Source organism: Homo sapiens, chromosome 3, assembly GCF_000001405.40.
Source record: "Homo sapiens chromosome 3, GRCh38.p14 Primary Assembly".
NCBI lineage: Eukaryota > Metazoa > Chordata > Mammalia > Primates > Hominidae > Homo > Homo sapiens.
This window is the reverse complement of record NC_000003.12, coordinates 97,094,421-97,118,921: the sequence shown is the minus strand read 5'-3', so window position 1 is coordinate 97,118,921 and position 24,501 is coordinate 97,094,421. Positions and strand designations below refer to the sequence as shown.

The window sequence follows — 24,501 nt, the reverse complement described above, 5'->3', positions numbered from 1 at the left end:
ATCTAGAACATTTGAAGAGATGGTATCGATCTGCTTGTAAACATAGGAAGTCAGAGGAGGAAATGAAAATATGTTAAACTACGAGAGTATTTTACAGAATATTTTAGCCACTTTCTAACTTAATCTTCACAATAGCCTCTATATTTGTTGCTAGTACCATTTACAGATGCAAAAATTGAATATTAGGGAAGTTAAGTAATTTTCCCAAGATCATGGGTACTATAGACTGGAAATAGGACTTTAGCCATATTTGTGTGATTCTTAAATATACAAGTTCTACCCTATACAAATGGATCCTAGTAGGTCCTCAAACTGAAATGAATATGGTGAGGAAACTGGAAACCACTTAGCAAAAAACAGAAAAGGAACTAATGTGTTAAGACTAGGCAAGAGAAGATGTATGTTAGGTAAGATCTTTATATTGAGATATTTCAAAAAAAGAGGGAATTATCAGTCTCCAAAAGTTTAAGTACAGATTGAAGGAACATTTGTCAAACATACTGTACACATTAGACAGCTGATGAGATAGGTAGTTTTTAAGGTGTTTTCCAAATAAAATAAATTCTGATTATAGAATATTTATGAGTGAAAGTCTCCAAAACTGAACCAGAGAGCAAAAGTATGAAAAAAAAAAGACAAATAATATTCAATCACGTGTCCTGGTAACATGCACACAGATTATATAGCATTCTGAATCAGAAGTTGACAGATTCTCTGAAATAAGGTCCAAAGCACCAGGAGACTTTGAAATAATCTTTTGTATATAAAGTTGCTCTGGCTTCAGTAAAAATTAAATCTTAATGAAATATAATCATTTAATGATTTTATTCAAATTAATGAATTTCAACTCTTAGTAAGCTAGTTATTTCAAATAGTATTTGAAGATCAAAAAGAAGTTTACAAAATATAATTCTCTTTTCAGTGGATGATTTTAAAGAGATATTCATTGCACTATTACACTGTGCCAAACACTAAAGGAACTGAATATAGCAAAAAATGATACAGAGTTCTTTGTATATGAACTACCACATATAAGAAATATATTTTGATTTGTTTTTTAAGAATAAAATAATTATGCTGCACCATTCATACTTGGTTTCTTCTTATGACCAAATTCATTTCTAGTGTAAGAAATCTTGTGAGATTTAGATGCACAGTTGCTTGCAAACAAATACAGCTAAGATCACAATCTTGATTCAAAGATAAAGTAATCAAAACAGCATGGTACTAGTATTAAAACAGACATATAGACCAAAGAAACACAACAGCGAGCTCAGAAATAAATCCATTCATTAACAGGTAATCAATCTTTGACAAAGGTGCCAAGAACACACAATGAGGAAAAGACAATCTCTCCAACAAATGGTGCTGGGAAAATTGAAAATTAACATGCAGAAGAATGAAATTAGTCACTTATATCACTCAATATACAAATATCGACTCAAAGCGAAATAAAGATGCAAACATACTGAAACTGTAAAACTACTAGAAGGAAACGGGAAATTTTTTAGGACATTGGTCTACACAAATATTTTATAGCTAAGACCTCAAAAACACAAAAGACAAAAGCAAAAATAGACAAATGGGATTACCTCATACTAATAATCTTACACACTGCAAAGGAAGCAATCAACAGAATAAAGAAAAAACCTAGAGAATGGAGAAAAATTTTGCAAACCATACATCTTATAAGAGGTTGATATCCAAAATATCTAGGAACTTAAACAACTCAATAGTAAGAAAACAAATGACTCAATTAAAAATGGGCCAAAACCTCAGAAGATATTTTTCCCAAGAAGACATACAAATGGCCAATAGGTATATGAAACATGTTTAACATCACTGATCATCAGGAAAAAACAATTAAAACTATAGTGAGATATTACTTCATATGGTTAAAAGGGCTATTACCAAAAAGACAAACGATAAGTGTTGACAAGGATGTGGAGAAAAGGTAACTGTTGAACACTTTGGTAGACATGTAAATTAATAAATAATTATGAAAAATGGTAAGGAAATTCTTCAAAATATTAAAAATAAAACTACCATATGATCCAGCAATCCCACTTCTAAATATATGTCCAAAGGAAATAATATCCGTATGTCCAAGAGATATTTGCACTCCCTTGTTCATCACAGCACTATTCACAATATCCAAGATATGGAATCAACCCAAGTGTTCACTGACAGACAAATGTATAAAAATGGTATATATACATAATGGAAAAATATTCAGTCTAAAAAAAAGAAAGAAATCTTGTTATCTGCACAACATGAATGAACCTGGAGGACATTATGCTAAGTAAAATAAGTAGGCACAGAAAAACAAGAACTGCATGATGATCTCACTTACATGTGTAATATTTTTTAAATGCATAGAAGCAGAGAATATAATGTGGTTCCCAGTGGTAGTGGAAGAAAGGGAGATGTAGACAAAGAGTATAAAGTTTTTGTTAGGATGAATAAGTTCCGGAGATCTACTGTAAAGTATGATGACTATAGTTAATAATACTGTATTGTATACCTGAAAATTGCTTAGAGTAGATCTTAAGTATTCTTTCATATATACACACAGATATAACTATGTGAAGTTATAGATATGTTCATTTACTGTGGTCATCATTTTAAAATGTATACTAATATCAAAACATCACATTGTATACCATTAAAAATATACATATTTTACTTGTGAATTATACCTCAATAAAGATGGAGGAAGTAAACAAAGATCACGATACTCTAATTGAAAACAAAATATTTAGGATTAGCCAGTGTTTTAAAAGAAGACACATGCAAACAATTTGCTTCTTCATTTTTGTTTCCCTTTATCATTCATGCTTTCACTGTAGAAGAAAATCTTCTTAGGTATTAAAGGAAATTAAAAAGAAACGTCTCAGTGCTAAATTATCTTCAGTTTGCCTTTGGGACAAAAATCAAAAGCTTTTCATATAATTATCACCTGTTGAAACTACACTGCAAGTACTATGATTTGTTTTTAGGCAGTTAGGCAATATAAGGGTGATTTTGTTTAAAAGTGCTTTTCACATGATGATGATATGGTTCAATAACGTATCATATATGTTATTTTGCCCCACAATATTCTTAACTCCGACATCCTAAAAGCCTTCTCATTCTATAACAATATGGAGTAAAGTATTTAGGGCATAATATTAAATGAGTGTATGCAATGATTGCAATTACATAAAGGGACACACATCCACAAAACATAAAATATAATGGATTCCCAACTCTTTTTCTCTCTATTCTCATTCTCTCCATTCTCTCCCTCTCTTGCTCTGGGCATTCTCATCCATTTCAATTATTGGAGCTGAAGCCTCCATATTTATGATGCTGAGTTACAGATACAAATTTCCAACTTCATATAGAATAAACAGATCTGGTTCTGCCAAAGTCACATGGAAGGTGACAATATTTTTAAAGTAAATTAACATTTCCTACCACTCTCAGTTCCTTCCCCTGCAAATCTTACATTAGTTACACTATCACCATTCACTCCAGTAATTCCCCACTTCTCCTCTTCTACATTTTTTTTCTTTCACCTGGTAATAATTATATCTCATAGTTTTCCTTACCTTTCTTCTTAATTCAACAGTCTCATATTTGGTTTATTTATATTCCCTCCCATTTAGGCTCCCACTGATCATCTGTTCTACGTAATATGACCCAAAATTCCTTTCTGAAATAAAGGTGTATTTAAGTTGCCCTCTTTCTCAAAAACAGAACAAAACAAAACAAAAATCCCTACATAGCCATCCATTAAATACAGACTAAAATTATTTTAAGGCCTTTTGATAGCTGACTTACATTTTTGTCCTATCACAGTCTGCTACACACCATGTAGCCTATTTTCCAACTATATTGCAAGTCTTTTTCATGTACACTCATGATGCAGATACAAAATCAGGCTTGTCTATCTAGGATCTGCTCAAATATGACTCCTTCATTAACTTTATTTTCCAGCAAATCCACTCTTAAGAGTTAGTTCTGTTTTTACTGCTGCCAATAGCACTGTTCACAGTACTAGAGAACATTTGTACAATTGTATTAGATCAGCTTACATATAATTATCATTGATTACACTTGTGAGAATGTTGAGAGAAAAAACAATGCAACTTATTCATCTTTGTCCCTCCTATGTACACAACAGAAGCTACAAAATAGTTGTTGAGTGAATTAGTGGACTCACAGCAAAAAAGACATTTTTCTTTTAATATGACCTTAATGAAGGAAATTATGATAAGCTATACAGCTCTAAGTAAGAATGCTATATATGTCTTAAATGGGAAGCTCTAGGAGACTGATTATCCTCTTTTATATTTACTGAAAGAAGAGACAATTTAAAAATAAAATTATATAAAATCTCAAAACACCAAAATAAAATTGTGAAATAATAAAAAAGCACTGACGATTATATAACCAGGTGTTCTTGAGTGCGGTAAGATTTTGTTGTGGCATAACCATGGGAAGAGATATTAATCAGGTAATGCTAATGTATAACTTAACCAAGTAACTCTAATGATACAGTAAATTTAGCCATATTTGCTGGTGAAATTAAAAGTCCTTAAATATAAGAAATTATTACAATTTATAAAGTAGTAATTTGTTGTTACTAAATTTCTATAAAAATGTTCAGTTGTATTTTTATGTAAACAAAACTTAAATATTATTAGAAGTCTTTCATGTGGAAAGCTCTCCTAAATGTGGTTAGCATTTAAAACGGCATGATTGGAAGTATAAAGAAGAAGAGGTCTTGTTCACCAAGGGGCTCCTCTGTGATACCACTACTTCTGCTAAATCCAGTTTTTACTGTTGTATTCTGAATGAATAGCATAATAGCAGCAGATGTTATGGTAGAGGTAGTAACCACCTCCTCCTCGTGATCAGGAACTGGCCATCTATCCCAAGATACCCCAAGCAAAGCTAGTAATATTTCTGCTGTAATTCAGGACAGGAAATGACTAGACTTAATCTATAAAAGTGATCAAATTCCTCACTATATCTCTCATAACACTAGATATGCATAAAATATTGTTTTTGTTTTTCTTTTCCTTATAGCTGAATTATAAGAAAAAAGTCTGTGGGACATTCTTGCTACTAGGCAATTTTTGAAAGAACTCTTTACATGACAATGACAAATGCAATCAATATAGCCTTTATGGGGAAGGAAGGCAGAGAGAGAGAAGGAGGGAGAGAGAGAAGTAAAAAATGTTACTTCTGGATGAAAAAAGGAAAAAGGCAAGAAAGACTTTTTTTTGTGGGTGCTCTGGTATGCCACCCAGTTCTCCCTTTGGGGATGCAGGCCTTCATTATTTCAGCTGCAAAGAGTGTTGCCTGCTGATGACACAAAGCTGAGTATTTCCTTAGGCCTTGCCCTTGACCAAAGTGGGGGCTGTTCACACAAGGTGGAGCCTGTAGCCCACAACTATGACTTGTCGACGAAAGGAGCCAGTTAGGCTCCTTCCTTGCCTCAGTTAGGAACATTTCTGAACTGCCATTTAGCTTCACAGCAATCTGTGGAGGATGGGTAAAGTCTTTTTTGGCAACTGCATCTCAATTCTGCATCTCACTCTGCTCAGTTACATGGCTTTTACTCCCTCACAGATGTTATTCACTAGAGGATTTCCCAGTAAGTTTCTTGAATGCAAATCCTGGTTAAGGGTCTATTTCCCAAGGAATCTGATCTAAAACAGTATAAATCACAGTGAAGACAATGGTAATATAGGTAATTTTCAGAATGTAATAACTCAGAAATATGACCAGTCGGGGAAATGATTATCTACAGGACAAGGTTGAGCCTGAGGGCAGCTGAAGCAGTTGAGTTGAGGGCCTGACACATAGCAGAGACTCCAACTAATATCTGTGAAATGAGTAACTAAAAACAAGTCAAGTATGCTAGAAGTATAAGGACAATAAATTAGAAAAAACAAGTGAGTGTTGAACTCTTAGGTTCACAAACATGACCTGATAGAAAAACAATGATTCTGAGTTATTAAGGAAATACCTGAGTTATCAAGGAAATTTAGAGACTATCCTATCACTTACTGGTAATAACAATGATTTAGGTGAGACAGTGATACTAGCTGTATGGTACAAAGTTCAAGAGGAGGAAAAAACTAAAAGGAGTATACATTAAGAAGCCTATTAGCAATAGACACAGATCCATATATGAATCCTCTGAACGAAGACCTAAGAAATATTGCTTGGGCAAAAAATAGTCTAAAATTTTCATTAAATCATACTAGGCTAGAAAAAAAAAACCACTCATAGTGTATCATTTCAGACAGAAACTTAGGCTATGCTGATTAAACTTCACATACAAAATCGACTTTCTTCATGTGCTTATGATACAACAGAAACTATCACCTTTGAAACAACAAAATTTTTAAACCCTAAGTAAACTCTAGAAAAATAGCACTTGGCTTTTCTTCCCCTCTCTAATGTCCTCAAGTTTGTGATTGGTCAGATAAGCCAAAATATTGTAGTAATAATCACCAGAGATAGAATCTTTAATTGCAAATAACATCATCAAAGTCTAAAGTGGAATTAGATTTACTCAGAGTATCACAGAACTCATGAATGGTTGTACTGTTTTAATAAGTGACAGCTTTCACATAAATTACTATCCCATGCTAACCTTTTGAACGTCTCAAAATAAAGGCATACCAGCACATAAAATACCAAATTATCACTTATATACAAGCAAATTGAGAGCAGAAGAAACAGAGATGAAAATTGTCTTTGTTTTTTATTTATGCAAATCATTAAATGAATACTATATCTTTATGAACCTCATATTACTACATGAATCATTGTTAAGATAATTTTAAGTTGTAGGCAGCAACACAATTTGGAAACACAGTGAATGTATTCATGCTATCTTGGAGATGGGCAAATGTCTTACAATTAGTGGCAAAATCTAAAATTACAAAATGAAAAAAGAGATAAATAATATTTCTTATTTCTTTGAAATTTAGTAAAAATATTGCACATTAAAAATACTGAGCCCAAGGCTGTAACCTTTCTGCATTCAAGGTGAGCATGAGAACGTTCCTGAAGTGGCAATCAATGTAGGGCTTTAATTGCTTCAGTGCCGTCAAATGAATGTGGAAGAGTATTGAACAATGTCCTTCAGGAATAAATTTATGTAAATATCACAAAGCTTTATTAAGATATAAGTGTACATTGCTTGAATGGAGGAAAGTAACAAAAATGAAAAAAATCCAAAGGATCTTGAGAAAGTTGTAAATTGTGAGAAAATATGTTACAATAATATAAATAAGGGCTTTCAGTGTGCATCTAAGCAGAAAAGCAATTACATTTTGTTTCCAGGGAAAAATATAATTTTAACGATTCATTTAAATGATGGTGACCTGCCCACCCAGAAGCTGTTTTTCCTTCCTTCCAATTTATCTGTAGATGAAAATATGCATTAGATATTGCCACACAGCTGTCACTCTCTACTTGGCAGGAAAATTGAAGCTATGATAGCACATATTGCTTATTATGCTAAAAGCTGAAAACAAGTACTTAACCAGGTACATGTCAAATACAATTGCAAAAAAAATTCACACAATAAATGAACACCACAATAATAGATCTCAAAAACTCAATTCAGTGGATATATTTTATAATATGCAATGAAGAAATTCATGAATAAAAGCCAAATTTTTTATAAGAAAATTCCACATTTGTAAGTTAATTACTGTTGTTGTTGAAAATAACCTCTAAGTCTGTACATGATGAAAACATCTTAGGTGTGTAAGTCAGAGCTTTTAATCCCTGGCTGAGTTTGGGAGAGTTTTGCTGAGTTGAGGATGCTCACTAGGCAGTATCATTTTCATATGTAAAGCTCTTTTTAAACCTTTTCCTAAAGCCCTATAGTGAAAAAATTTCTAAGAAAAATATTGCCTTTCACTAGGATATAAACTATTTAAATATTAGTATAGGTAATAATCACATATTTTGTAGTACTTCCTGCAAATTTTGACAACTTGGGTCTAATTTCTGTAAAATTCTGAGCAAGTCACATTAACTCTCTGAATTCCAAGTTTTTCCTTTTTAAAATGAAAGATGGCCAGGCATGGTGGCTCACACCTATAACCCCAGCAATTTGGGAGACCAAGGCAGGTGGATCACTTGAGGTGAGGAGTTTGAGACCAGCCTGGCCAACATGGTGAAATCCCATCTCTACTAAAAAAAAATACAAAAATTATCTGGGTGTGGTGGCACATGCTTGTAATCCCAGCTACTTGGGAGGCTGAGGAGGGAGGATCGCTTGAACCCTGGAGACAGAGGCTGCAGTGAACAGAGATTGCACCACTGCACTCCAGCCTGGGCAACAGAGTGAGACTCTGTCTCTAAATAAATAAATAAATAATATAATAAAATGAAGGAGTTATACTGGCAATCTAACATTTCTGAGTTCCTAAATTAAAACAATAACAAAAATAATCATAATAAATGAAATCTAGAACAATGTGATTTGGCAAGAAAAATAGTTTTTAAAATGAAAGTGAATCAGACACAACAATCAAACAGAGCTGAGTTTGATTTCTGACTGCCATTTAGCTGTACGACTCTGGGCTGGTACCTGAAATTTCTCCTAAAAGAGAGTTATGTAAATGGTAAATTACCATTATGGAGGCCCTATCATTACCATGTTTAAGTAATTTGTGCCCATCATCCACCCCCATCTACAAGTATTTTAGTCACTTTATCCCTATGAATGAAAATAATTTCATCTTTTTCACAGAATGGTGTTAAAATGCAATGAATATGCAAAGTATCTAAACCATATAGCTGAAGATTTTTTTGAAAAGTTAATTTACCCTTTTATTCTCCAAGTGGCAAGAAATGTAGAAAAGAGTATTTCAATGTTATTTAATACCTCTTTTCATTCTCATTTCTATTGATTTCATTAAATCAATAGAAAATGAAATGCTTCTTGATATGATGCCTCCCATATAACCCAGCCCTTCTAATCCCGGTGATTATTTTGGTGGAAATTGTTAGGTTACCATATGATCACTTCTGTACTTGTCACAATTACCATTAGTGATTTGAATAAGTGTAACCTTCTGTCTATCCTCTGCTAGGCCATATCTTCATAAGGTCAGGAGCCTCTGTCCATCTTGTTTACTGCTGTCAGCATCTGTCATAGTACATTGTCGTTGGTCAGTAAATATTCTGCAGTTAATGAATAAATGAATACTGCACATCTTCTTGACATCTCCATCTCGGAGTTTTGTGCTTCTCACCGTGCTGCTCCTAGCTTCCTGCTTCCAGCACAAAAACAACTCTGTACTTTATAAAAGCTGAAAAAGTAGCAGCTCTTAGCGTCTTCACTTTTCACTCCAAGCAACAGTTACTGACAGTTGCTTTATTCAAGTTTCTTTAAAATTTAACTTGAAAGTCTTCATGAAGCTATAAATCCTTAACACAACTCTCCTTCCCATGCAAGTAGAAAAGATTTATTCTATTTAGTTCCACTGGGCTGAACTAGGCCCATGAGAGACAGTTGTGTTTCATAACAACACTAACTTATGAATCCAGCAAGTATTACACCTTAAGCCTAAACAGTCTTCACCCTAAATTTGGGTCATGCATGTCTATAAAAAGTTAGACTGTGAGAGGTCCATTTACATGTTTTACAAGGCAGTCTGCTCTAGGTAAAGAACTCACTGAAAGGAAAGTGATTATTGCATAGTTTGAGCTGTGGATGAATGCTTAAAATCACTCATTCATTCAAAAATATTTATAACCCGAATCAAATAAATCATGGTTCTTTCTCTCAAGCATCTTACATTAATAGGAAAAACTTGGCAAGAAATCAATAACATCAAAAGATTGTTGCAAGTGCAATAGAATACAGAGGTGGTTATGAGTGTAGCCTGCCATCTGTCACTCTGGCTGCCCTCTGCTCAGTCCCTGGAGTGTTGTACATGCCACTGGAATGGCTGCAACATTTGATGTCCACCATAGCTTTGAACATCTACATGGAAAGCTGGAGCAAGAATGGTAAATGTTGACTGCAACACTGTAGCTGTAAACTATAATCATTAGAACACATGTTAACACCTGAAAATTCTCAATAATAACTGGAAGTATTTGGAAGTGAGGTCAAGGTCCCAAAGAGAATGACAGCAGTGCCAGAAATGTCCTAGCTTGTTAATGTTTACCTTGTCCACCAGAATAAAGCTATTAAAAATGAGATAGGCTACCTTGTAAGATGATGAATTTTCTGCCTGTATCTTCTCAAGCAGTAGCTTCTGCCAGAAGCATATGGAGTGGGTCACTGAAAAATCGTCCCTTCATCTCTTAGATCTCATGACTTTGTAATGTCACATAATGAAGCATTACACAAACATTTTGACGTAAGTATTGTGTTCTTTTCTTATGTACTTTCCTTGGCAATGCCTTGTACTTTGAAGAAATAGGCATATAGGGTATATAATGCAATAAAGATTGTGCCATTTGCTGCAGCTCATTCTGTGTTGTTTTCTGTCCAATCCCATACCAGGGCTGGAATGAATGAAATCTGCAAATATCAATGGTTCATGCTGACTAAGCTATTTTGGCATCCATTGATTGATTTTAAATGGGAACACTTGCTATCCAGTTGGTTTTAACTATTGATAATAACCAGCATATTGTTTTCATGTGTTCCTTTTCTTACTGAGCTTTCCACTGACTTTCCCCTAACACTCTTTCTCTACTACTTCCTGTGGTGGGTAACATCCTGACAGCTTCTACCTAGTATGCAATTTACCTGTGTTGGCACTGCATGATTTGGAAAGTACCAGCTAGAATTATAAAGGTCTCAGGGATAAGAAAAGGTATCCTGCTATGTTTTGAAGGAGGCCAAACTTAGTGAGAGTAACTTAGGTCCCTTATATACAATAACAATTCTAGCACTTAGAATAGTATCATGTAGTTTCATTTGAAAACCCAAGAATAATTGCTTTAAAATATCTAAGCTATATAACACATAATTTCACTTTAAAACTACAATGAGATCCTTAGGCTGAAATAACTTAAAAATCTATTTGAGGAAATAAAATGCAGAAAAACAATGAGGAATGACAAAATGTAACATTTACAAAAATGATAAATAATGTGGCATATGCTATATTTATTCTCTAGAAATTCAGCCTCCCTAATACATCAGAATCAAGTAAATTCTAATAGAAGACATGGACATGAAATAGACTCTGAAAAAGATTGGAGATGTACATTACAAATAGAAACAACATTAAAAACATGCAAACAAGGGATAAAACACTTTGTATAGGGGACAAGCATGAAGTTAGAAATAACTTAGTTAGAAGTTAGAAATTAGTCAGTTACGAATAGCTATCTTCATGGAAGTTAGAGAAAACAGGCTTAGCTTATGAAAGACTTTTTAATAAAAGTAGATAAGTACAGACTCAGTCCAGTAAGCAACAGGAAACAACATATGGTCTTCAACCAAGAAATGAAATGAGGAAAGTGATGTATAACAAAAGTATAAACAGACATTGTCATCCAGGATGACTCGGTTATGAAAGGGAGTAGGAATAAAAGCAGGGACCCCAGGTATAAAGCTAGTTTAAGAAGGCCGATGAAAATGCAAACAGCTCTTCTCACTACTATTTACTTCTTGAATATTCAGGCAGATTTTTCTCCCAGTATAAAATACTGCTCAATGAAAACATCACTTTTGTAATGTAAATTACAAAGTAAATTACATTTACTTATTGTAAATGCCCATATATAAAATTAAAATATTAATCTATATAGAAACCTGCAAAGTAGTAATAGTAGGAGACTAATGCTTTTATTCAACCATTCATTCAACCTTTAAATACCTATAATGATCAAGGATCCTGGCCGATTGGAAGATACAAGAATGGTGAATTTTCTATACTTGTTTCTTTGGTAACCCCACCATCACCAAGTCAAACTGGAACACTCTGATCCCAGACACCTGAATAGTTGTCGTTCCTTTCTCTATACACTTGATAAGTTATTGAAATGAGAAAAATTTCCTTATCCTCCTTGCAAGGCATGTGATGGGAGTGTAGCTTGCCTTCAGTGCCCCACTGCTCAAAACCCCTAGGGAGCGCAGGCATACAGGCAGGTTTTGGGGCTCCGACCCCTCGGCAGTAAGTCTCAGTGAGCCTGTGTTACAGGGTGCTCTTTTAGTTTAGCCATCAGTAGATGGCTTGTCTCAGTCAGCTCAGTTAGACCCTCTGCCTTATCACAAGGACAGAGGGCTTTCTGTATCCTGGGGTTTCTCACCTTGGTGTACCGGAAGAATTAGATCACAAGTGGGCTTGGAAAATGAGTACAACGTTTTACTGAGTAAAAGTAGCTCTCAGCAGATGGGGAAGCCAGAAGGGGGATGGAGCAGGAAAGTTGTTTTCCCCTGGAGTCAGGCTGCTCAGCGGCCTGGGCTTTCCTCCAACCACCCCCACCAATATTTGCTCACTATTATTTTTGGAGATATTATAATAAAATTTGCAATATTAATATAAGGATGTGCTTGTAAACCTGGAATTGAGATTGGGGGAAATTCTGAGGGTTTGGAAACCATAGAAAAAAAAAGTTGAATCAGTCTGAGTTTGCCTTAATCTGAAGGAGTTTCCTCAGTATCACTGGATAAACTGAGACAGTGTAGTATACCTTTAGTATACTAAGCCAGTTAGCATCATGCCAATGACAATAATTATGATGACTAAACAAATTAATATTTCTATTAATCTTTCTAAGCATTTCCATATCTATTGCAGGCAAAAATTTGCTTTTAATATATACATTTTAGTAAAATCCTAGTTCCCAATGGTATCCTGTGTTCAAAAGACCCATCTCAAATGCAATAACACCCTTAGGCTCAAAACAAAGGGATCATGGAAAATCTGCCAAGCAAACGGAAATCAGAAAAAAGCAGGGGTTGCAATCCTAATTTTAGACAAAACAGACTTTAAACCAACAAAGATGAAAAGAGACAAAGAAAGGCATCACATAATGGTAAAAGGTACAATTCAACAAGACTTAACTATCCTAAATACATATGCACCAACACAGAAGCACCCAGATTCATAAAACAAGTTCTTAGAGACCTACAAAGGGACTTTGACTCCCACACAGTAATAGTGAGAGATTTCAACATTCCACTGGCAGTATTTAGAAAGATCACCATGGCAGAGAATTAATGAAAATATTCAGGAGCTGAACTCAACCTTGGATGAAATGAATCTGATGGACCTCTGCAGAACTCTCCACCCAAAACCAACAGAATATACATTCTTCTCATTGTCACATGGCACATACTCTAAAACTGATCACACAATCAGACAGAAAATAATCCTCAGCAAGTGCAAAAGAACTGAAATTGTACCAAACACACTATTGGACAATAGTCCAATAGAAACAGAAATCAAGACTTAAACAATTGCTCAAAACCATGCAATTACATGGAAATTAAACAACTTGCTCCTGAATGACATTTGGATAAATAATGAAATTAAATCAGAAATAAAGAAGCTCTTTGAGACTAATGAGAACAAAGATACAACATACCAGAATCTCTGTGACACAGCTAAGACAGTGTTAAGAGGGGCTAAGACAGTGTTAAGAGGGACGTTTATAGCAATAAATGCCCACATCAAAGAGTTAGAAAGAACTCAAATTAACCACCTAACATAACCACTAAAGGAACTAGATAAGCAAGAGCAAACCAAATCTAAAGAGAGCAAAAGATAATAAACAAATTCAGAGTGGAACTGTAGACTGAGACACAAAAAAAACATTCAAAGGCAAAGAAATCGAGGAGTTTTTTTTTAATGAATAAGATAAATAGGCTGCTAGCTAGACTAGTAAAGAAGAAAAGAGAGAAGATCCATATAAACACAATAAGAAATGGCAAAGGGGATGTTAACACTGACCCCACAGAAATACAAGCAAGCATCAGAGACTACTACCAACACATTTATGCACACAAACAGGAAAACCTAGATGAGACAGATGAATTCCTGGACACATACACCCTGCCAAGATTGAAGCAGGAAGCAACTGATTCCCTGAACAGATCAATAACAGATCTCTGAAACTGAATTCGTAATAATTAGCTACCAACCAAAAAAAGCCCAAGACCAAACAGATTCACAGCTGGATTCTACCTGATGTACAAAGAAGAGCTGATACCATTCCTACTGAAATTGTTACCAAAAATTGAGGCGGAAGGATTTCTCAACTAATTCAATGAGGCCAGCATCATCCCAATATCAAAACCTAGCAGAGACATGATGAAAAAAGAAAGCTTCAGGCCAATATCCTTGATAAACATTGACGCAAAAATCCTCAACTAAATACTTGCAAACTGAATCCAGTAGCACATCAAAAAGCTTATCCACCACGATCAAGTAGGCTTCATCCCTGGGATGCAAGTTTGGTTCAACATACGAAAATAAATAAATATGATTAATCATATAAACAGAACTAAAGAAAAAAACCACATGATTATCTCAATAGATGCAGAAAAGGCTTTTGATAAAATTAAACATCGCTTCTTGTTAAAACTCTCAGCAAACTAGGTATTGAAGAAACATATCACGAAATAGTAAGAGCCTTCTATGACAAACTTGCAGCCAACATCCTATGGAATGGGCAAACGCTGGAAGCATTATATTTGAAAAGGGCGTAAGACAGGGATGTCCTCTCTCACCACTCCTATTCAACACAGTATTGTAAGTCCTGGCTAGAGCAATCAGGCAAGAGAAAGAAATAAAGGGCAACCAAATAGGAAGAGAGGAGGTTAAAATATACCTGTTTTCAGATGACATGATTCCATATCTAGAAAACCCCATAGCCTTGGCCCCAAAGTTCCTTCAGCTGATAAACAACTTCAGCAAAGTTTCAGGATACAAAATCAATGTATTAAAGTGACAAGCATTCCTATATATCAATAATAGCCAAGCTGAGAGCCAAATCAGGAATTAAAACACATTCACAATTACCCTCAAAAGAAAAAAATACCTAGGCATACAGCTAACCAGGGAGGTGAAAAAGCTCTACAAGGAGAACTACAAAACACTGCTCAAAGAAACCAGAGATGAAACAAAAAAATGGAAAACGTTCCATGATCATGTATAGGAGAAATCAAAATTGTTAAAATGCCCATACTGCTCAAAGCAATTTACAGATTCAGTGCGATTCCTATCAAACTCCCAATGACATTTTCACAGAACAACAATAACAACAACAAAACTATTTTAATATTTATATGGAACCAAAAAAGAGCCCAAATAGCCAAGGAAATTCTAAGCAAAAAGAACAAAGCTGGAGGCATCATATAACCCGACTTCAACCTATACTACAGGGCTACATTAACCAAAACAGCATGGTACTGGTACAACAACAGACACATAGACCAATGGAATAGGATAAACAAACCAGAAATAATGTCACATGCAACCATCTGATCTTTGACAAAGGTGACAGAAACAGGCAATGGGGAAAGAACTCCCTATTCAGTAAATGGTGCTGGGATAACTGGCTAGCCATAGGCATAAGATTGCAACTGGATCCCCTCCCTACACTATATACAAAAATCAACTCAAGATAGATTAAAGACTTTAATGTAAAACCTCGAACTATGAAAACTGTGAAAGGCAACCTAGGAAATACCATTCTGGATGGTAAATACCATAGGAATGGGCAAAGATTTAATGACAAATATGCCAAAAGCAATCACAAAAAAGCAAAGATTGACAAATGGGACCAAATTAAACTAAGGAGCTTCTGCACAGCAAAAGAAACTATCAATAGAGTAAGTAAACAGACAACCTACAGAATGGAAGAAAATTTCTGCACACTGTGCCTCTGACAAAGATGTAATATCTAGCATCTATAAGAAACATAAATAAATTTACAAGACAAAAAGATCCTATTAAAAATTAGGTAAAGGACATAAATAAACAGATACTTTTCAAAGGAAGACATGCATGTGGCCAAAAAGCAAATGAATAAAAGCTCAATATCATGGATCATTAGAGAAATGCAAACCAAAACCACAATGAGATACCAACTCACATGAGTCAGAATGGCTATTACTAAAAAGCCAAAAAAAAAGATAACAGATGCTGGCAAGGTTGTGGAGAAAAGGAAATGCTTATACTTTGCTGGTGGGGGTGTAAATTAGTTCAACTATTGAGGAAAACAGCATGGTGATTCCTCAAAAAGCTAAAAACAGAACTACCATTTAACCCAGCAATCCCATTACTGGGTATATACCCAAAAGAGCATAAATCATTTACTATGAAGGCACATGCACGTATATTTTCATTGCAGCACTATTCACAATAGCAAAAGCACAGAAGTTTAATCGTATTTGTACATAATTGGATGTTTGTATCCTTTAACAGCTCTTCATTAAATTTACAATATATTGGGCCTTAGGAATATTTTTTCAACCTAAATGTTGTTGTCATACACTATCCCCCTACCCACATTTAATGGGTTAAAATAACAATAATTTTATTGTATCTCGCAGTTCTGTAGGTCAGGAGTTTGGTTAGGACTCAGCTGAACAATGCTTTGCTCCACGTAGCATTTACTAAGATCACTCTGTGTCTGATATGGACAGTCTGGGATAGAGAATCCAAGATTGCTTCACTCATACGTTTGGTGTCTTCCTGAGGATGGTTGGAAGAAAGGACTCATCAGATACTGGAGATAGATTACCTAAATGTGGCTCTCCAACATGCAGCTCACAAGCTATGAGTGTTTCTTATATGGCGGCTCAGTGCCTCCAGAGAGTGTCTGAGTACCAAGAAGTCCAGAGAAAAGGGGCAAGGCTTCTGATGACCTAGCCATCAAAGTCCCAGATGTCACCTCTGGCAAGTTTCACTGATCGAGTAAGTTGATAGGCCAAACAATTTGGATAAAGAGTTCTAGCAGGGAGATGTTTCCTTATCATTTGGGAGGAAACTGAAATTTAGAGTAGTTAAGATATTTGTCAATGAATAGTCAAAATAGTAAGTGGCAGAGCTGAAACTGAATACAGATCTGTCTGATAAAAGAACTACAATCCAACAAAAATAAAATTAAAATAAGAAGATATTTAATCAATCTTTTGCATTAAACTCAGGAAGATTTTGTAAATATCAAAGTGTCATGTTGTAAAGAATTTTAGAGTTTGATAATCCACATATTTCCAAAAAGTAAAATGTCTATTTAGATCTTACTAAACAGAAACCTAAAAGTAAAGTTACACCTTCAAGAAGTTTCTCAGTGCTCAGGTGTATCCCTGACATTGGAGGCTAGAATCTGGCCCAAACAGAAAAACTTGCTTAAATGAATCAGGGATGAACAGGAACTCCAAATGGGCATTTAGAGGAGACACACTGGGCCTTTTGGGTTATTCCCACATGAACAACATGACACCCAGTCAAATATCCATTATAACTTATTTGGAAATTAAATAAAGTCACTCAAAAGGTATGCAGTGGCCACACAGACACACAAACAACAAATTGGAGAGAGCGGGCATATCATGGGGACAAAGGAACTAGATTTTGTAGTTGAGTTCATCCTATCAGTGACATTTTAGAAAAGCCACTCAATGTCTCTGAATCTTCCTTTGTAAAATGAAGTGGTTAGAATAGATATCTGCAAAGCTCACTTCTAATATGTTCTAATTAATTCATTTTTATTTCTGAGTATTGGATTCATTTTCCCTATTCCTGTATTAAATAATTTATATGTTCAAAATTTACTGTAAAAGCTTGAATTGACCAAAAATATAGTTATGATAATTTACTCACCACAGTAAAAAATGACAGATCAGAGACAATGTGCCTTAAGTTGAAAATCTGAATCATAATACATTATAAAGTCGTTTTACATTCACAGATACTAAACTCCATTATCAAATAATTATAGACTTTATTGATAATCTTTATTTCATTCTGTAATAGAGATGCTGTTTTAATCATTTATCTTATTCTCATTTATGATTATTTTAAAATCTCACTACCTTCTCCAGCACAATATTCAGGGAGTGGTTAATATTAGGATAGAATATGTAGAAAAAATTACAACAATAATGTCAAAAATATACAGACATTTTAGCCCAAACAAGTGAAAATGGGAAATAATAGGAAACACTTGGTATATCACTTTGATAATGTTCAGAGTAACTGAAATGTATTTCAACTTTTTAAAATAAAGGAAAAATATTTGGAACACGTACCTTCAGTTATCCCAGTTATCCTGTCTTGTTCCTACTTAACTTACTAACTCCATTCTCTGCTCACACAATGAACAGTGTATTATCTCTGAAAGAGGCTGGGCCTAGGGATGAATCTCAGTCTTAGTACTAAAGAGCTACATGATGTGGGCAAATTAGCCTCTCTGATTTTGTTTAATATCTCTAAAATCAGTTAGTAGCCATTAAGTAGAATAATGTATATAATAGGGTCCCAAATTATGGTTGCACCTGAGAAACACTCAAAATATGATTGTTATTATTATGTCTCTTTGTTAATTTGTCTGCCTGATAATCAGAAAGAAATATATAGTATTGCATTAAAAACTGATCTCTTTACTATTGTGTCATCAAAACTGCTTAGAGAATGTTAAGCTCCATATATCTATATATATATAAAATATATAGATATATATAAACTATATTTATTGTGTGCTTTGATCTCTAGGTGACTGCATTTCTTATTCTATTATGATTAGAGACATGAAATTAAATTTTGAAGTGAAGAACAGCTTCTCTTTATTAACTTTGTTTTGCTAGTTCCTCCTGCATTCATAGTAGAGTTGCTTTGGCCAATACAATAGTACCCAAATAAACTGTGGCCTTGTATAGTGACTTTTAACTTGCTATCTACAAAAATACACATACACATGGTGGAGACACTCCTTTGTTTTTAATTTTCTCCAACTTCCAATTTTGTGCTAAGCACAAATCTATTGGTCAAGGTAGACTAACAGCAATAACAAAAACTCAGAAAGTCTCATTAGTGTAAACACTACAGGTTTATTTCTCACTCACTTCATAATCCAAAGTAGTCAGCTGTGGGACTTTGCTCCATATGATCATTCAGGATCTAGGTTACTTCCATCTTACACTTCAACATATCTTCAGGGCTTTGGGGTCCTCCACTGGATTTTCATCATCAGGGTGTGAGAAGAAAGATGGAGAGAGCTTGGCAGATAATCAGGAAGGTCTTTTAATGAGCAAGACCAGAAAGTGGCATATTCTACTTTAATCAACATTCCAGTATCCAGAAACAGGTCACATGATCCCACTCGGCGATAAGATATGCTGGGAAATTTCATTAGGATGAGTCACAAACCAAAAAAGGAGGGTTTGGTAAACACATAATATTGTTTCTGACATAACACACTATCACAATTAGTAAAAGGTACTTATTAAGAAATATCTAATCCTTTAATAACTGAACATGCTTATAAATATTGTGAAAATATTAGTGAATATCAAAAGACAAATTATATGCAATATTTAACAGATTTCTGACCCACAAAATCAGTTCTTAAAGACAAACAAGTGTTTAGGATTTTAAAGAGTCACAAAACATTTCCTAATTAGAAATTAGAAAGTTGACAGGAAAAAAATATTTAGATTTTATGGTTGGCAAACCTTGATGGGAAAGTTATGGATAAGTCTGCTGAAAATAGATACCTCAACTGTGATTAACAATAAGGAAGCTTAAACTAAATTAATAAATATACATGTTGACTTTCAGCTTCAATTCACTGGAATAATTACTTCACATTAACATATCAACAAGCCAGTCATCAACAGTCTAAAGTCTCAGGTCACTGACTACTTCTACAAATATATTTTTAAAGTTTTTATTATTATACAGCCTTCTGCAAATTTTCTGTCCACACTGTTACATGCTTAATTGCATAGAATCTCATAAATTCTTATAGAAAGTGTTTTCTTAATGTTAATTTTATCATTATGTTAATGAGAATATAATAGAACTGTACTCTGATAGCAGTGCTGACAGCAGAACCCACCAATTTGTTACCAACCATCAAATAGCAACAAACATTCATCAGTTGTGGACACAGCAGCATAACAATTACATCCCTTTTTGCTTGATTGACATAGTGGATTGTAGTGTTATAATACAGACTACGAAGTGTTCCAGATACCCCTATTTTTGTTGATTCATAACAAAAAGTGTTACCTTTTTCCACTTTACTGACTTCTTTGTCATAAGGGTTTTTGAAAAAGTCTTAGAGGTTCAACTACTTTTTCATCATAAGTTAGGTAAAGATAATCACATAATATAACATTTCATAAATCTTAGTCACATAACATCATCACATTCACATTTAAAATGTACTCAAATCCTTCTGTTTTAATTTATTTTTCCATATCTTCCCTAGAATGGTTTTGGTTCTCCCATAAATTCTGTTGCCTATTCAGATCTAATGCATAAGAAAGCTTACATAAAAAAGCAAGCAGAGTTCAGTAATTCTACATATCAAAAGTTAAATTAAATTTAAGTTTATTACTTCCAATAGTCCTGGAAATTGAATAATATGCAAATAATTTAAAATAATCAGACACAAAAAATAAAGTGAATTGTTTGGATGTTTTAGAAGTATAGAATAAAAGCCTGATTAGAGCATACACTCATGAATCAGACTTGGTCCAATCCCTGGGTCCAGCACTTGCTAGCTACATGACCTTGGGTGTAATATGCCGCATTGCTATTCACAAAATGAGAGCATTAATGATACCACCCAAAAAGTCATTGTGAGAACTTTGTTAATTCCAACATATGAGGCACTGGAAGAGTGCTTGGTATGTTGTAAATATTATGTGAGTGCCATTATTGTTCATTTATCTCATAACTTAAGTTTTCTAAATTCAAATTCTTAAACGTAAGATTCATTCTCTACGATTTTTGCAAAATTTTAATTTGACAGGAGTAGAACTGTGGCATTGTTAATCATATTATTCTCACCCACATCATTACTCACATCCAGAAATGTGATTTAATAACCATTGCCTACTTGACTTCTCTTTTTGGATACATTAGCTGCATACATTCTTCTGATTTATCTGCTATGTGATTAAAATACCAGGAAGCATTTCTTAGCATTAAATTTTGTTATTTCATCAATTACTAAAAAACATTTATTGTACCTATTATGGATACAGGCTTGACATAAGACAGATATGACACTTGATATGGCATGCATTTCCATACAAAAGGTCTTCCAATCTGGCAGTGAAGACATAAATTTTAATTAACTATCTTTTATATAAAGCTATACAATGAAAGTGTCATATGATTATTCCATTTAAAAAAAAAAGAACCAATGTGATTTTATCTTCACTGAAAGGGTCATTCAGCTACAACTTATATTTTCAGATTCACAATATGTTTTTCCCATTTTAAAAATTCAATGCTTTCAATGTAAAACCTTGTGTTTTGTTTTGTTTTGTTTACAAGGTAGTATATTTCCTTTATCTCTGAAAAAAGGAAGAATAAATTAAATAACTGATTATGTCTGTTAGCTCTGACTGCCAGGAAGCAAAATATAGCAATGTTGTCAATCTTGATGGCTCAATTATTTAAATTTTTCTTCATGTCATTTCTTAAAAAATATTTTTCTTTATATTTTCCATTTACATATTTTTATTTCTTTTATTAATGATATTGCATATGTCATTTTTATAAATCAGCTAAGCTAATACTCTACTAAATACTTATTATTTCTTTGTGTTTGGAACATTCAAATTCTTTCAGCTTAAACTACATTTTTTCTTTTTTTCATAATATCATAATATTACTGCTTTAATGATAAACATTAATGAAATGACCCCCAATTGGATTTTTTTGTTTTGGAATTTGAATTTTTATTTAAATAAATGTTTACGAACTCATAAACTACGTAGGGAACTAAAATGGAGGAAACATTAGGAGATGTGGGCATTTAACACTGAGTTACTTATAATTTAGAAAGTTTTTTAACAGATGATAGACTTTATTTGACATATGTCTTTTGCTGTCCATAGATCTAAATTTGAATATAAAAAAAGATTATACTATAGCCCTTATATTGTATTAAGCACTAACTTTTGGTTTTTAACTTTAAATAAAAGTGACATTTTTATTATTAAAACCACTCCTTATTATTCAAAACTTAAGAAAATTTAAGAATCACATAAAATAGGCAAAAGTTTACCAATGATTTTAGCTTTGAGTAAAAGACACCTGAATATACTGACTTTTTTCTCCCATGTCTCACTGAGATTTTAAATGCCCAGGCTGGCATAACCCATGACAGGTTATATTCTTCTTTTGAGTACATTCAGTGGTTTAGAAAAGTCATAAGGCATGAGGTTGAAAGCCAAGTACTCTCAATACTTATGAAGTCAGTAAATCTCATTATTAATCATTACCCTTGAACAAATTTATGTAGTTCTGTGAAATGTTCATAGATTTAAAATATATAGCTATACAATAATATACTTCTAAACTACTCTAAATATTTAAACTACTCATATTTCCTATGAAAAGCTCGGCACTCAACTATATAGATATAGATATAGACATGTATATATATGTGTGTGTGTGTGTGTGGGTGTGTATGTGTGTGTATGTGTGTGTGTGTATATATATATATATTTCCTTAGGTTAAAACACACACATACACATTTTGCAAATACATTTTCCTCCATATATGTGGATACGTATAAAATAGCTTTGTTAGAGCAAAGTTAAAAGTTACAGCATTATGAAATCAAAACCCATTGCTTCCAGCTCAAAAAGACTTAATCAATATGAATGAATTTCATATTAGGTCCTCAGTCCTATGTGTCTTATCCACCATCCCTAGGACAGGGTTCTTAAACTTTTGGTTCTAGAATCATCCTGAGCCATCACATTCATGTTCTGAGCATTAGAGTGGAAGAAAAACAAAACAAGAAAGCAGAGGTTTTCAAAGTATAATATCATTTAAGCTGCAGCATCAGCATCATTTAGGAACTTACTAGAAATGAAAATTCTCAAGCTCCTCTCCAGACTTACTGATCTAAAACTCCAGGATGGAATTCAATCATATGTTTTTTTGTTTGCTTGTTTTTTTTTTTATTTTTTAACAAGTCCTTCAAGTGATGATGGTACACAACAAAGTTTGTGAACTACTGCTCTAAGGATATATCCCAGAGTTACACACACCACTTTCCCTCACATACTTAGTCATATGGCCACACATCACTTAAAAGCAGGGTAGGAAATGTGGTCATTATTTTTAAGTAGCCATTAGCCCACCTAAAAATCAGGAATTTCATTAGTCTGATGAGTGTTTGAATAATGGTAAGCATTATCAGCCTGTGCCACATAATTTTGAAAAGGAAGGTGGGGGGTATGGTCACAACAAAAGAAAGCAGGATGCTTTTTTTTATCATTATACTTGAAGTTCTAGGGTACATGTGCACAAGGTGCAGTTTGTTACATATGTATACATGTGCCATGTTGGTGTGCTGCACTCATTAACTCATCATTTACATTAGGTATATCTCCTAATGCTATCCCTCCCTTTTCCCCCTACCCCATGACAGGCCCCAGTGTGTGATGTTCCCCTTCCTGTGTCCAAGTGTTCTTATTGTTCAGTTCCAAAACCACAATGAGATACCATCTCATACCAGTTAGAATGGCGATCATTAAAAAGTCAGGATGCTTTTTAACAATATTACGCTTCTTTCATTAAAATTTTTACTTTTGTTGAAAATAGTTTCAATTAAAAACAGATTGCCAGTTTTCCGTATTTACTACTTTTAATGGCAGCCCTTTTCTCTTATTCAATTTTTAAATCTTACACTAATCATAGGCGATGGGGATCATTTTTCTCTCCATCTTAAAGATAAGAAAACTAAAACTTCCAAATTATAGGTTACCTTACTCAAGATATCATACACCCAGTAGGCAAGTCAGACCCTGAAATCCGGTTTCCTTACCCAAAGTCCTTTACACATTTTGTTACATCACATTTATTTAATAAAGGCTACACTCTTTAACATTTCAGCAGTTTAGTTTTCCTCTTTTCTTTTCCTGTCTCCCAAAGTATTGTTTTCCTGCAGATGTTCCCTGAGAAAATGTTGAAGCCTTTTAAAATGTGAAGGCTAAAATAATAGTTTATGTAGCAAGACTAAAAGAACTTTACAATTATAATACTAATCAGAATGAGATACACTTGACATTTTCCCCTCTTTCTTGTTTATATTTCAATCATTGAAACCTCAAAGAAATAACCAGATTTTAATAACTGAGAAATGTTAATAACTCAAGATAAATAGCTGCCTAGCACTAATATTTCTAAACTTTGATTTGAAGTTAAACTAATGCAACAACACAATCTTTAAGAGACGATGACAACTGATGTTAAATTGTTGCTTGCTTGTTCTTCCATTTAAAAACTGAGAAAATACTTGTTATG

At 33.8% G+C, this 24,501-nt stretch overlaps 1 protein-coding gene across 12 annotated transcripts in view; it reads right to left on the bottom strand.

Moving 5' to 3' along the window:
- Nucleotides 1-24,501, bottom strand: part of EPHA6 (EPH receptor A6) — a 946,939-nt gene that overhangs the window by 642,611 nt on the left and 279,827 nt on the right. Inside the window, exon 4 of one of the 12 annotated variants that reach the window (XM_011512705.3) lies at nt 19,032-19,339. The exons of the other annotated variants lie outside the window; for them this stretch is intronic. Within the exon in view, the coding sequence (XP_011511007.1) occupies nt 19,284-19,339 (56 nt within the window). The 3' untranslated portion in view covers nt 19,032-19,283. Of the gene's footprint in view, nt 1-19,031; nt 19,340-24,501 lie in introns of those variants that run through there. 12 annotated transcript variants of the gene reach the window in all.